This window comes from Homo sapiens, chromosome 9, assembly GCF_000001405.40.
Source record: "Homo sapiens chromosome 9, GRCh38.p14 Primary Assembly".
Classification (NCBI taxonomy): domain Eukaryota; kingdom Metazoa; phylum Chordata; class Mammalia; order Primates; family Hominidae; genus Homo; species Homo sapiens.
The window spans coordinates 111,072,908-111,088,833 of NC_000009.12; the positions used below are offsets into that span (position 1 = coordinate 111,072,908).

The window sequence follows — 15,926 nt, forward strand, 5'->3', positions numbered from 1 at the left end:
AAAGTGTTCCTATTTCTCCACAGCCTCGCCAGCATCTGTTGTTTCTTGACTTTTTAATAACCACCATTCTGACTAGCATGAGATGGTATCTCATTGTGGTTTTGATATGCATCTCTCTAATTATCAGTGATGTTGAACTTTTTTTCATATGTTTAAGTTCCGACATGGGTAATTTCTGCTGTTATTTAGGTCATATTTATTTCAAAGCATTCTGGGTATGAACCAACAACATCTTTAGGGTAGTATAAAAGACAGAAGGTACTACTGCAGCATTGCTAAAATGTTTCTCTTTCTTTAAAAAATCCTCTTGTTCTTCTCTCTAGTCTAAGTCAAGGGTTGACAAGCCATGGCTGGTAGGCTAATTCTGGCCTGTGGATTGTTTTTGTAAACAGTTTTACCAAAACACAGCCACTCTCACTTATTTATATATTGTCTGTGGCCGTTTTTGCACTACAATGGCAGAGTTGAGTAGTTGCAACATAGACTATAAGGCCTGCAAAGCCTAAAATATTTACTGTCTGGTCTTTACAAAAAGTTTGCTAACCTCTGCTCTAGATCAATTATTCACAAACCTGATTGTGCATTAAAATCCCTTGAGAAGCTTTGGAATAATACCAGCTCCTAGATCCCAACCACAGAGATACTGATTTAATTTGTTCTAGGGTAGTATTTAGACATCAGCATTTTCTATAACTCTCCAAGTGATTCCAATATGTAGGCAGGGAGAATCATTATTCTAAATATTTTTTAGCTCACTAGTAAAGGAAAGTTGAAGGATCATCTTCTAATTGCATATGTTCTAGATTTTAACTAACCCACAAAATGTATATTCAGTGACTTTATTTGATGAATATAAAAATCTGGAAAGGGACTTTTTGACTAATAATTCTTTTCTCAATGGCCACAAACCAATAAAATGCTCCATTTTCATTTAAAACACACATGCACCGTCAGTATAGGTGGCAAGAATTTCCTCTTCTGCTGGGAAACATTCTCAGGTTCAACCTGCTACCAAGACTCAGATATAAAGCAGTTTCCAAATATAGGTTGAGGGTTCAAATTGGGCAGCCAAAAAATTACAAACATCTGCTATGATATTGTAAAACAAATTATTACAAAAGGAAAAGAAAGAAAAAAACAAGTTCAGAGTTACTCTTCTACCTAATAAAAAAGAAGCATTTCTAGAATTCAGATTCTTTTTGAGTAAAGTTCAAAAGAGTGTAACATTATAATATGAATTCATTTAATATTTTCTAATTTCAATATCTAACAACTAGTTCATGTAACCTACATTTTCTAGAAATTGTTAACATGTAAAAATCACATCTCCTGATATGATCAACTTAAAACTGTCTAGATTATTTTCTTGTTTGATGGCAGAGAGTCTCTTCAATAGAAACTTCACTTCTATAACAAAAGAATCTGTATTATGTCATTCTTGAATTGCCATAAAGAAATACCTGAGACTGGGTAATTTATAAGAAGTTTAATTGACTCATGGTTCTGCGGGCTGTGTAGGAAGCATAGTGCCAATTTTAGCTTTTGGGGAGGCCTCAGGAAACTTCTAATCATAGCAGAAGGTGAAGAGGGAACAGGCATCTCACATGGCGGCAGCAGAAGCAAAAGAGAGAGTGAGAGGAAGTTGCCACACACTTTACAACAACTAGATCCCACAAGAACTCACTATTGCAAGAGCAGCACCAAGAGGATGGTGCTAAATCATTTATGAGAAATCCACCCTCATGCTCCAATCACCTCCCACCCAGCCCCTATCTCCAACACTGGGGATTGCATTTCAACGTGAGATTCAGAGGAAACACATATTTAAAGCCTATCAGCTTCAGGATAAAATAGTCAGACTTAAAGATACTTCCAAAAGTCTAGGTTATTCTGACTGAATTAGCACCATGAGTTTCCAAGTATGATCTCTGAGAGACTTTGATCGTATCATTGCTTTTGGTCTTTCCTAGTCCTATACCCCACTCCCAGTGAGTGGCCTGTGGATAACTATGAAAGCACACATACACACACTTCCTAAGAATAATAAATAAATTTAAGAAACAGTACAGTCTAAATCATATTTAGAAAAGCAACATTTTCTTAAAGGTTACAAAATCTGCAAAGATCCAACTCTATCCTCAATGATGTCAAAAGGAATAGCAGAGTACTGGCCAGGCATGGTGTCTCACGCCTGTAATCCAAGCACTTTGGGAGGCCGAGGCAGGTGGATCACTTGAGGCCAGGAGTTCCAGACCATTCTGGCCAACATGACAAAACCCTGTCTCTACTAAAAATAACAAAAATTACCTGGGCATGGTTGCACACACCTGTAATCCCAGCTACTTGGGAGACTGAGGCACGAGAATCACTTGAACCCAGGAGGTGGAGGTTGCAATGAGCCAAGATAGAAACACTGCACTCCAGCCTGGGCAACAGAACGAGACTCTGTCTTAAAAAAAAAAAAAAAAAAAAAGGAATAGCAGAGTATTTTAGTTCCTTGAAACTACATGGTCTCTCTCCTCTCCAATCCAGAATAGGGTATTTGTGGTGGTCTTCCCATAACAAAAAAATGTTTGCCTAATTCCCACCATACACACACACACAAAACCAAAGAACTGCTGGAAGTTTTGAACTGACAATGTTTTAGTCAGGAATCAAGCCCTGGAACTATGGGATTCCCCTTCCCTCAGCAGCCTTTCAGCAAGAAATAACTTTTAGCCGTACTCTTGGCCTGGAAAGGAGAGCGAAAGCCTGATATGAAGACAGCAGATGATTTTTTTTCTCCTTACGTAGCAAATCTCACAGGTTGTCACTTCTTTCCCCCCTGTTAAGTGTATTCTTATACCAAGACATTTATTTCCCCACAGGTCTATATCCCTATTTCCTCCCACGGCCATAGAATGTGTAAGAAAAGTAACTTTCTCAAATTTGACCTGTGCTGCTATGATATTCTTGTTTTTGTACTTCCACCATTTTACCTAGCAGTTATTAGAATTTGTTAGTGGGGAAGACAGTAAAAGTATGCTTCTGGTAGGATGGAAAGGAAATCCTACAACTCTCTCTGGACTGTCCATGAACTGAAAATTCTCCAAAAGATGTCTACTTTTGGTTATTTTTACTTATTTTTAAGGATTCCATCTCTGTTGCCCTAAGGGAATAACATTTATATTGACCTTTTGAAAGTTGTGATTTAGCTCCCACCCTAAGCTGAAGAAAGGAAAAGAAAGAAAAACAAAGGAAACCTGGAACCTGTTAGTATTTTTCTTTCTTCATCAAATTTTTCTCTTACTCACTTCCTCTTCTTGCTTACTGGGGATTATAATCCAAGCCCTGCTCACGGGGACTGGTCCTTGACTACAAGAGACAGCCCTGCACTATGCACATTCATCGTTACAACACCAAAGAATCATTAGATGTGGCAGGGCATAGGGGCTCACGACAGCGGCTGTCATTCCAGCACTTTGGGAACCCGAGGTGGGTGGGTCAGGAGTTTGAGACCAGCCTTGTCAACATGGCAAAACCCCGTCTCTACTACATAAAGTACAAAAATTAGCCAGGCGTGGTGGTGGTGGGAAACTGTAATCCCAGCTACTCAGGAGGCTGAGGCAGGAGAATTGCTTGAACCCTGGAGCTGGAGGTTGCAGTGAGCCGAGATCACACCACTGCACTCCAGCCTGGGCAACAAGAGTGAGACTGTCTCAAAAAAAAAAAAAGAATCATTAGATTTTTAGAGTGAGTTCCTCTTCTTAGTGTAAAGGCATCTCTCTATTTCCTGAAAACAAAAAATGCTAAATCATACCTGAGAGTGAACCCAGTCCTACATACTTCCCCAGGCCGAGTGCAGTGGTGGCTCATTCTTGTAATCCCAGCACTGTCGGGGCTGGGGCAGGAGGATCACTTGAGTACAAGAATTTGAGAGCAGCCTGGGCAACATAGTGAGACCCATCTCAAACAAGCAAACAAACAAACAAATAATCCTCAACTTGCTTCTACAAAGCTCTGTTACTGCAGAGAGTAAGAATCTAACTTTCTCATCCCCAATCTTATTCTCTCAGAGGCAGATCATGGGGAAATATTAAAGACAGTCCTCCTTTGCTCTAGGGTAGAAAATCAGGACACATCAAAATCTCACTACTAGGAAACTTTGGTGGGGCAGCGAATTCTCTGGATACTTGCAGTTTCAGATACCAGATTTAGTAGGGAGTACTCTTGTGTTGTGGGAAGAGAGTAAATTTTATATTAAAAACTATTCTAATGCACATAGTCCTCATTTGAACACTCAAATAAGTTTAGATTATTTCTAAATTGGCATTTACAGTGCATGTAATTCCTAGCTTATCAATCATTGTCCTCACTATGACAAATTTACTTTCCACTTACTGCTGTTTCTCTTAGTGACCGGTTTTTAGCAATAATGTATCTACTTAATTCTTGTTTATATAAAATTGTTGTCATCTCTAATAGAATTATTTCACAAGCTAGGAAGGGGATGGGAGAGGGTGAGATAAAGACAGATTGATTATTGGGTACAAAAATACAGTTAGATAGAAGAAATAAGCCTACTGTTTGATGAAGCAGTAGAGTGACTATAGTAAAAAATAATTAATTGTGTATTTCAAAATAGCCAGTAGAAAATAATTAAAATGTTCCCAACATTAGGAAAAGAGAAATGTTTTAGGTGAAGGATATCACAATTACCCTGATTTGATTGTTTTATATTATATGAACATATCAAAATATTACATACACCCTGAAAATATGTACATTGTGTATCAATAAAATAAAATAAAATAAAATAAAATGAATTCTTTTACAGATTTTTCAGAAGGCAAGTAACTATCTTAAAGTGAATGAAATAACATGGCTAATTCTAACATTGACTAGTTATGTGACCTTGAAAAGTTATTATTCAAAATGCACTTCTATTCATTCAAAATGGATGGGATAAGAGTACCTACCCCACAGTGTTGCTGTGAGGATTATGTGAGGTGACATATATGTGACACTAACTAGCATATAACAGCTGCCCAATAAATATAGTTTCCTACTCAGCATTTTGGGAGGCCAAGGCAGGTGAATCACCTGAGTTCAGGAGTTTGAGACCAGCCTGGCCAACATGGTGAAAGCCTGTCTCTACTAAAAATACAAAAATTAGCCAAGCGTGGTGGTGGGCACCTGTAATCCCAGCTACTCGGTAGGCTGAGGTGGGAGAATTGCTTGAACCTGGGAGGTGGAGGTTACAGTGAGCTGAGATTACATCACTGCACTCCAGCCTGGGCAACAAAACGAGACACCATCTCAAAAAAATAATAATAATAAAATAAAATAAATAAAGTTTCTTTTCAAGATCTTTGGGTGGTGAAACCTTTTGTGACTCCTCTGTTTCCCACTGGGCATCCCACTGGGCTGCCACTAGTTGAATTTATTATCTGACCTCCTTAAATCTCATGACTCATTTATTCATTCTCAGACCTAGAAATGTATTTTTACTCTGCCCCTCAAGCCCATAGTTACCCTCCCAGTGTCTTCAAACTTTTGCTGTCACCACTGTGTTAACATCATTTCCACAAGTTCCCTGTGGCCACTACTCCATGCCCCTCAACATCTTCTGCTTGCCACATTTTCTAACTCAGTAACCTTTCTCATCCTCTTTTGGGGGAATTCCGGGCTTTAGCCACAGTCAATCTGCCCTACATAGCATTTCCTATTGCACATACCTATTACAACTTCTGCAGTTCAATTTCCAGAGAGGAGGTGGGGGAAATGTGGCCCTTAGGGAAACAAAAAAGAACAAAGAAAAAAGATAATGTAGGCAATTAGGGGAAGCTAACAAGTAGCTCAATCTAGTTGGGAAACCCTATATTGGGAGTTAAGTGCAGTGTTCATGGAGAACCAAGAAATCATCTTCATTCTCCACTCCAAGTTCTTCTCCAATTTCAGCAATATATGGCAGGACTTTTTGAGTTCTTACTATGTGTGAGCCACTGAGTATTTCACACAGATTATCTCATTTCCTTTTTAACTAATTCTAGAAATAGAAACATTTATTATCACATCCTTATTTTACAGATGTTGAAATTGAAGCTTAGAAAGATGCTCAAGGTCACACAGCCAGGGACTGACAATCTGGCTCTAGCACCTGTTAACTACCCTCTGCTCTACTCTCAAAGGTCAGGGTTAACTACAGCTTCCAGGCTAAAAGAAGGTAATCATCTTACCTAACCAGCTTTTCTTTTTTTCTTTTTTCTTTTTTTTTTGAGGCGGAGTCTCGCTCTGTCGCCCAGGCTGGAGTGCAGTGGCGCGATCTCGACTCACTGCAAGCTCCGCCTCCCGGATTCACGCCATTCTCCTGCCTCAGCCTCCCGAGTAGCTGGGACTACAGGCACGTGCCACCATGCCCCGCTAATTTTTTGTATTTTTAGTAGAGACGGGGTTTCACCGTGTCAGCCAGGATAGTCTGGATCTCCTGACCTCGGGATCCGCCCGCTTCGGCCTCCCAAAGTGCTGGGATTACAGGCGTGAGCCACCGCGCCCAGCCTTACCTAACCAGCTTTTCTTTTTTTTTTTTTAATTTTTATTTTATTATTATACTTTAAGTTTTAGGGTACATGTGCACAACGTGCAGGTTAGTTACATATGTATACATGTGCCATGCTGGTGCACTGCACCCATTAACTCATCATTTAGCATTAGGTATATCTCCTAATGCTATCCCTCCCCCCTCCCCCCACCCCACAACAGGCCCCAGAGTGTGATGTTCCCCTTCCTGTGTCCATGTGTTCTCACTATTCAATTCCCACCTATGAGTGAGAATATGCGGTGTTTGGTTCTTTGTCCTTGCAACAGTTTACTGAGAATGATGATTTCCACTTTCATCCATGTCCCTACAAAGGACATGAACTCATCCTTTTTCATGGCTGCATAGTAGTCCATGGTATATATGTGCCACATTCTCTTAATCCAGTCTATCATTGTTGGACATTTGGGTTGGTTCCAAGTCTTTGCTATTGTGAATAGTGCCACAATAAATATACGTGTGCATGTGTCTTTATAGCAGCATGATTTATAGTCCTTTGGGTATATACCCAGTAATGGGATGGCTGGGTCAAATGGTATTTCTAGTTCTAGATCCCTGAGGAATCGCCACACTGACTTCCACAATGGTTGAACTAGTTTCCAGTCCCACCAACAGTGTAAAAGTGTTCCTATTTCTCCACATCCTCTCCAGCACCTGTTGTTTCCTGACTTTTTAATGATCGCCATTCTAACTGGTGTGAGATGGTATCTCATTGTGGTTTTGATTTGCATTTCTCTGATGGCCAGTGATGATGAGCATTTTTTCATGTGTCTTTTGGCTGCATAAATGTCTTCTTTTGAGAAGTATCTGTTCATATCCTTCTCCCACTTTTTGATGGGGTTGTTTTTTTCTTGTAAATTTGTTTGAGTTCATTGTAGATTCTGGATATTAGCCTTTTGTCAGATGAGTAGGTTGCGAAAATTTTCTCCCATTTTGTACGTTGCCTGTTCACTCTGATGGTAGTTTATTTTGCTGTGCAGAAGCTCTTGAGTTTAATTAGATCCCATTTGTCAATTTTGGCTTTTGTTGTCATTGCTTTTGGTGTTTTAGACATGAAGTCCTTGCCCATGCCTATGTCCTAAATGGTAATGCCTAGGTTTTCTTCTAGGGTCTTTATGGTTTTAGGTCTAACGTTTAAGTCTTTAATCCATCTTGAATTAATTTTTGTATAAGGTGTAAGGAAGGGATCCAGTTTCAGCTTTCTACATATGGCTAGCCAGTTTTCCCAGCACCACTTATTAAATAGGGAATCCTTTCCCCATTGCTTGTTTTTCTCTGGTTTGTCAAAGATCAGATAGTTGTAGATATGTGGCGTTATTTCTGAGGGTTCTGTTCTGTTCCATTGGTCTATATCTCTGTTTTGGTACCAGTACCATGCTGTTTTGGTTACTGTAGCCTTGTAGTATAGTTTGAAGTCAGGTAGCATGATGCCTCCAGCTTTATTCTTTTGGCTTAGGATTGACTTGGCGATGTGGGCTCTTTTTTGGTTCCAGATGGATTCACAGCTGAATTCTACCAGAGGTACAAGGAGGAACTGGTACCATTCCTTCTGAAACTATTCCAATCAATAGAAAAAGAGGGAATCCTCCCTAACTCATTTTATGAGGCCAGCATCATCCTGATACCAAAGCCGGGCAGAGACACAACCAAAATAGAAAATTTTAGACCAATATCCTTGATGAACATTGATGCAAAAATCCTCAAAAAAATACTGGCAAACCGAATCCAGCAGCACATCAAAAAGCTTATCCACCATGATCAAGTGGGCTTCATCCCTGGGATGCAAGGCTGGTTCAACATACACAAATCAATAAATGTAATCCAGCATATAAACAGAACCAAAGACAAAAACCACATGATTATCTCAATAGATGCAGAAAAGGCCTTTGACAAAATTCAACAACACTTCATGCTAAAAACTCTCAATAAATTAGGTATTGATGGGATGTATCTCAAAATAATAAGAGCTATCTATGATAAACCCACAGCCAATATCATACTGAATGGGCGAAAACTGAAAGCATTCCCTTTGAAAACTGGCACAAGACAGGGATGTCCTCTCTCACCACTCCTATTGAACATAGTGTTGGAAGTTCTGGCCAGGGCAATTAGGCAGGAGAAGGAAATAAAGGGTATTCAATTAGGAAAAGACGAAGTCAAATTGTCCCTGTTTGCAGATGACATGACTGTATATCTAGAAAACCCCATTGTCTCAGCCCAAAATCTCCTTAAGCTGATAAGCAACTTCAGCAAAGTCTCAGGATACAAAATCAATGTGCAAAAATCACAAGCATTCCTATACACCAACAACAGAGAAACAGAGAGCCAAATCATGAGTGAACTTCCATTCACAATTGCTTCAAAGAGAATAAAATACCTAGGAATCCAACTTACGAGGGATGTGAAGGACCTCTTCAAGGAGAACTACAAACCACTCCTCAATGAAATAAAAGAGGATACAAACAAATGGAAGAACATTCCATGCTCATGGGTAGGAAGAATCAGTATCGCGAAAATGGCCATACTGCCCAAGGTAATTTATAGATTCAATGCCATCCCCATCAAGCTACCAACGACTTTCTTCACAGAATTGGAAAAAACTACTTTAAAGTTCATATGGAACCTAACCAGCTTTTCTAAGACTTGAGGACACTGAGGTTCTTCCTGGTGCGTGTTAAGGAGGCCGGGAAAAAGGACATGGCAGAGATAAGAGTTACTGCCCTAGCTCCAAGGCACCAAAATTCTTCACAGAATTAAGAAAATAATTATTATCACTATTGAACATCAACTACTTAATGGTGCTACACCAGGAACTTTATTTCATTTCATTTTTACAATAACCCTGCCAAGAGCTTATTCTTGTCTTCATTTTACAATGGAGAAAATTAAGGCTTAAAACAGTTAAGTGACTGAGTAGCTGGGCTGAGGTTTAATTGAGATCTCTCAGACTCCAAAACCCTTCTTTCTAAGATACTGTCTTGTAATTTTTTTTCTTTTAGAAAAAAAAAAAAAATGTATTGCAACTCTTCTTATCTGTAGTTCATGACTTATGACCATCTTTAATTCTGCATGAAAAGATTAAAATGATAGAGATTAAAATGATTCAAGTAATCCATTTCTGATTATCTCAAATTGCCAAGAGAAGCTAACTTATCCCATTAACCAAGACCTTTCCCCAAGAAAAGGGATAAAATAAACACATTATTTTATCTTTCATTATGTGGTTTGCAACTCCCAGTGAAAGAAACTCAGCTGTAAAATTAAAAAACAACCAAAAAAGTGGATTGCAAGGAAGTTCTGGAATCTATTCTTTTTAACAGGTAAGAAAAAGGACAAAGATCAAAAACTGGGCTAAACAACTAAAAGAATGTTGGAATGATCATATTCAATGGAAAGAAAACTAGGGTTTGGGTTCTAGTCCCAGTTCTACACAAGCCTTGTATTTTTGAATCAGTCTCTTTACTTCTCTAAGACACAGTTTCCTCAACTATAAAATGGAGCCAATGTCTGGCTTGTTTAAACCACTGGGTTCATGAAAGAATTAAAATAAGAGAAGGTTCCGTAAAATAAAGAGAAGGTTCTGTAAAGGTTTTACAATTTGCAAAGTTCTATTCAAATATTGTTCCATCATCCTCATTGTCTTTGGAGTCAAATAGGTGAGAGTTTAAGCCCTAATTCAGTCATTATCAACTCTGAGATATTGGGCAGCTCACTTAACCTCTCTGTCCTTCTGGTTTCATTTATAAAATGAGTGTAGTGAATATTTGTTACCTATGTTCAAAATACAATCCATCCTTCTTTCAACTAAACATTATTCATAATTTTAGTTCAGGTATCCACTCTTCCATCATGGGGTTCAAATACTTTAGGTCACCTGACTCCACCTCCAGTTTCAAGAGCAGGCCTTGATAGGATTAAACAAATTAGGGAATATAGTTCACCTTGCCAGAGTGATTGGTTTACAATTAGTAGTCTGAACACCAGAGAGATTGGTTCGGATATAAGCATATTAATTACCCCACTCTGACCAATGAAAGGCGATGGAGGTTTTCAGATGAATGGGAGCTTTAGAAAAGAAGATTTCTAGCTCTTGTGATTTGGTACCTAAAAGTAAACTATATTTTCATCCTTGGCCATGATGGGGTAACTGGTACCAGACTAGCCCTCCCACTGTAAACAACTAGAAAACTGGACAAAATATATAAAACAACTATTTTTAGATATTATATGATAGGCAGCACAAGACTATGATACCTGAAAGAAGAGAAACAAATGAGTGGAGTCCAGTGATTACCCCAGCTTTCCTCATGAAGACTCAAGGAGGGGGAATCTAAGCACAACACAGAAGTCTTTTTTATTTAATTTAATTTTTATTTTATTTTATTTTATTTTATTTATTTTATTTTATTGTATTTTATTTTTGTAGAGATGGGGTTTCATCGTGTTGGCCAGACTGGTCTCAAACTCCTGGCCACAAGTGATCCACCCACCTCAGCTTCTCAAAGTGCTGGGATTATAGGTGTGAGCCACTGTACCCGGCCAGAAGTCTTAGTAAGTTGAGGACACAGATATCAGATTTCAAGGAGGCCAAAATGGCTAAAATTTGTATGGAGTAGCAGAAAAGAATAAGTTTCATAGAGAAATTGCTCCATAAACCTTAGAATGTTTGACCAAATAATAAGCTGTATATGTATAGGATGAGACTAAACAGGAGCAGCTACTAGAGAAATAAAACTAATGTGCAGCTGTAAGTTAAACCACCAGAACTTTCAGTATCAAGGGACATTTCAGTTCTGACCAACCCAAATGGAGACACATCACTGAACACTCAGAACATTTATCAGAATCTGCACCTTATAATCAGTACCCGCTAGAAATGGGGTTAGTTTCTAGAGTAAATGCTACCTAAACATGCTCCAACAGGGTTTTGAAAAGATCAATGCCTTGAAAAGATCAAGAAGATCTAGAAATATTTGTTACCTTCCAGAATAAAATCCAGCATTGACTAAAGGAGGGCAGCAAGATCCAGACACTCAACAAGGTAATAATCACAATGTCCAGCATCCAATAAAAAATTACTGTATGTGCTCAATGTCATTAGTCATTAGGTAATTACAAATCAAAACAGCAATGAGAGAGTATTTCATACTCAGTGGAATAGCCCTAATAAAAATATATGAAAAATAACAAGTATTGGCAAGGATGTGGAGAAATCATTGCCAGTAGAATGTAAAATGATACAGCCAATATGAAAAACATTTTGTTTGCTCCTCATAAGTTAAGCATAGAATTGCTGCATGACCTATCAATTCTACTCCTAGGTATATAATCAAAAGAACTAAAAATAGGTGTTCAAACAAAAATTGTACATCAATGTTCATAGCAACATTATTCACAATAGCCAAAAGGTAGAAACAACCCAAATGTCCATCAATTGATACATGCATAAACAGAATATGGTATATGAACACAATGAACTATTATTCAGCCATAAAAAGGAATGAAGTACTGATACGCGCTACAACATGAAAACTTGAAAACATTATGGTAAGGGAAAGAAGACAGACACAAAAAGTTACAATAGTACAGAATTCAATATACTGTATATGAAATATTAAGAATAGGCAAATCCATAGAGAAAGAAAGCAGATTAGTGGTGGCCAGGGAATATGGAGAGGAGAGAATCAAGAGTGACTGCTTAATGGGTATGGCTTTCATTTTGCTTTTGTTGCCCGTGATTTTGAGATCTTACTCATAAAATCTTTTCCCAGACCAGCGTCCTGAAGCATTTCCCCTGTTTTCTTCTAATAGTTTCATAGTTTGGGGTTTTATCTTTAGGTATTCAATCCATTTTGAGTTGATTTTTTTATAGAATGAGAGATGGGGGTCTAGTTTTGTTCATCTGCATACGGATATCCAGTTTTCCCAGCATCATTTATTGAAGAGACTATCATTTCAGAATATATTATGAAATCATAACGTGTGATACCTCCAGCTTTATTCTTCACCCTTATGATTGATTTGGCCATTCATCTTCTTTTATGGTTTCATATGAATTATATAATTTTTTTCTGTTTCTGTAAAATATGTATTTTGGAATTGGATAGGGACTGCATTGAATCTGCAGATCACTTTGGGTAACGTGGACATTTTAACGATATTAAGTCTTCTAATCCATGAACATGGAAAGTCTTTCCATTTGTTTGTGTCTTGCTTAATTTCTTTCATCTCTGTTTTGTAATTTTCAGTATATAAATCTTTCACCTCCTTAGTTAAGTTTATTCTTAAGTATTTTCTTCTTTTCGGTGCTATCATAAATGGGATTGTCTTCCTAAGTTCTTTCCAGTAGTTCATTGTTAATGTATAGACAGGCAACTGATTTCTATTATCACACTTTTTAAAAAGTATTATTATATGTGTCAAGAAGTATGGAAATTCTTGTTGTTCTTCTTCTTATGTGGAACTTTTATTACAAAACAAGTTTAAAAAAATTAGAAAATAGAAACAGACCCAGTGTTACAGCAGCCCGGATAGAAAAAAAAAAAGACAAAACAGACCCAGGAATGAAAGAGATTATAGAATGAGCAGACAAGGACATAAAAACAGCAATTATAACTAACTATGTTAAATGACCATATTAGTAATATGTTGCTGTGTAACAAATTAGCCCAAAATTTAACAGTGCAAATAGTAAGCATTTATTACTTTATATTTTCTGAGCATCAAGAATCCAAGAATATATTAGCTGGTGGTTCTGGCTCAGAACTTAATCATTTTAATAATGTAATATGATAAACTTGGCAGCAAATTTAAAAGACAGCAAAATATAAAGGGCCATAAAAGTAAACTTGATAAATACGCCAAATGTGGTATTAACTGTAAAAGATTTTTTTGGTTTTTACATTTCTTTTTAAAATAATTGGGAGAATTCTTCCAGTTGTAACAAATAGTTCCCACTGAATGACCCTTCTTCCCGAAGAAAACAAGCTATAAAACTTGTAAAAATACAAAAGTAAACCACTGGGAAGTGTACAGAGAAAGATTTTGGTGATGAGGGCACATTTACTTGGAGGAGGGGAGATGACGAGCCTCATGAGCGCAGTCATGCATCATTTAATGATGGAGATACCTTCTGAGAAATGCATCGTTAGGTGATTTCATCAATGTGTGAACATTATAGAGTATACTTACATAAACCCAGATGGTATAACCTATTACACACCTAACCTATATGATATAGCCTATTGCTAGTAGGCTGCAAACCTATACCACATGTTATTGTACTGAGTACTATAGGCAATTTTAGCACAATGGTAAGTATTTGTGTATCTAAGCATAGAAAAGGTATAGTAAAAATATGGTATTATAATCTCATGGAACCACTGTCGTACATGCAGTCTGTCATTGACTGAAACGTCATCATGTGTCACACGACTATATATTATATTTGCATCGCCATGGCTTTTAGCCTAGGTTAAGTGCAGTCTATATAATGTGCTAAGTGACACTGAGGGTAACCATGAAAAAACTGCTATCTTTCTAGCCTGGGAACCATAAGAGTAAAGCCAGGAAACTGTGTTCACTGAGAAGAGTGGAGGAATCTTGGGAGGGAAAGAGCTAGAGAAGGGATTCTAGAATGTTTTTCTACTCAAATCATTTACTGACTCCTAAACTATGCATATGCAGAACAGATTCAAAGTAGCTCAGCTTGGGGACTACTAGAGGTGGGGAGGTAGGATGGCAAGGACTGAAAAACAAACTATTGGGTACTTTGCTCAGTACCTGGGTGATGGGATTAATTGTACCCCAAATCTCAGCATCACACAATATATACAGGTAACAAACTTGCACCCCCGAATCTAAAAATAAAGGTTGAAATTATAAAACAACAACAATAACAACATAGCTCAGATAAATTTGAAAGATCTGAACCAAAGACTAGAGCTGCTATTCATGAAACAGTCTGCAGTTTGCACCCAGCAAAAAAAAAAAAAAAAAAAAAAAAAGACTTGCAAACACAAAGGAAAAAAGCCAATCATCAGAGAAAAATAACAGAATCCAAGACTTCCACAAGCTTCCAAAAGTCAACATTAATCATATCTAAAATCCAATCCAAAATTACCCATAAAACAAAGAACCAAGAAAGTGGAACCTGTAGAATACGAGGAAAAAAAAAAACAAATCAGATCCCAAAATGAGTTAGATGTTGTAACTAATACATGGATTTTAAAATGGCTATTATAACTATCTTCATGAGGTAACATAGACATATATATATAAACATATATGTATATATATATACATATGTTTACAATGGATAAAAATCTCAGCAGAGAAATAGAAAATATCAGTAAAGCAATGGAAGCAAGAAGAAACAAATGGAAATTTTAGAACTAAAAAATACAGTGGATAAAATAAAATGTTCACTTGGTAGGCTTAACAGATGAGTGGAGATGACAGTAGAAAGTAAGCAAATTTGAAGGTAGAGCAGTAGAAATTATCCACAGTGAGGAACAAAGAGAAAAAAATTAATTAAAAATGAACAGACTCATGGACCTGTTAGATGATACATGGTTGTATATGTTATCGTAATATGGAGAGGGAGGTGAGAAAAAGAGAGAAAGAGAGAGAGAAAAGGAGGGAAGAAAGGGAGTGGGGAGAGAGAGAGAAAGAAAGTGGTACAGTGGCCAGAAATTTCCCAAATTTGAAGAAAGACAAAAATTTGCAGATACCACACACTCAATAGACACCAAGCATGATAAACATAAAGTAGCACTGAGGCATATCAGAGTTAAACTGTTGAAAGCCCAAGATAAGGAGTAAATATTTAAATTAACAAGAGAAAAATGTCATACTACACACAGAGGAATAAAAAATCCAAACATTAGATGACTTCTCATTAGAAATTGTGGAGACTAGAAGAGAGTGGAACCATGTCTTTAGAATATTGGAGAGAACAGAGGAGCCTGTCAACCTAGAATTTTATATCTATGAAAAGTATCTTTCAAAAAATTATGGTAGAATAAAGATAAGTTCAGATAAAAGAAAACTAAGAAAATTCATCCCCAGCAGATCTGTGCTACAAGAAATGCTAAAGGAAATTCTCCATGTATCTAAAGAAAAACAGGTCTTTCGCATTTGTCTAGTGTTATAATCTGTATCTTAAATAGCTTTGTGATTAATAAAGAAATTGACTGGGCAGTTTCTTTTGAAGGAGAATGATACTACATTGAAATCTGCATCCTCAGAAAAGAATGGAGAGCATCAGAAACCGTAAATATCATCTGGACAAATGCAAAAGACCTTTTTTCTTTTTTACTATTTCCTCTTAGTTCGTTCCTTCCCTCCT

At 37.3% G+C, this 15,926-nt stretch overlaps 1 annotated feature.

Annotated features, from left to right (window-relative positions):
* Positions 5,519-5,568: an enhancer, noted in NCBI's record as "active region_28792". NCBI's record gives its function as "activates an Ori minimal core promoter by ATAC-STARR-seq in GM12878 lymphoblastoid cells {active_cell/tissue: GM12878}" and the evidence as "EXISTENCE:reporter gene assay evidence [ECO:0000049][PMID:35858748]".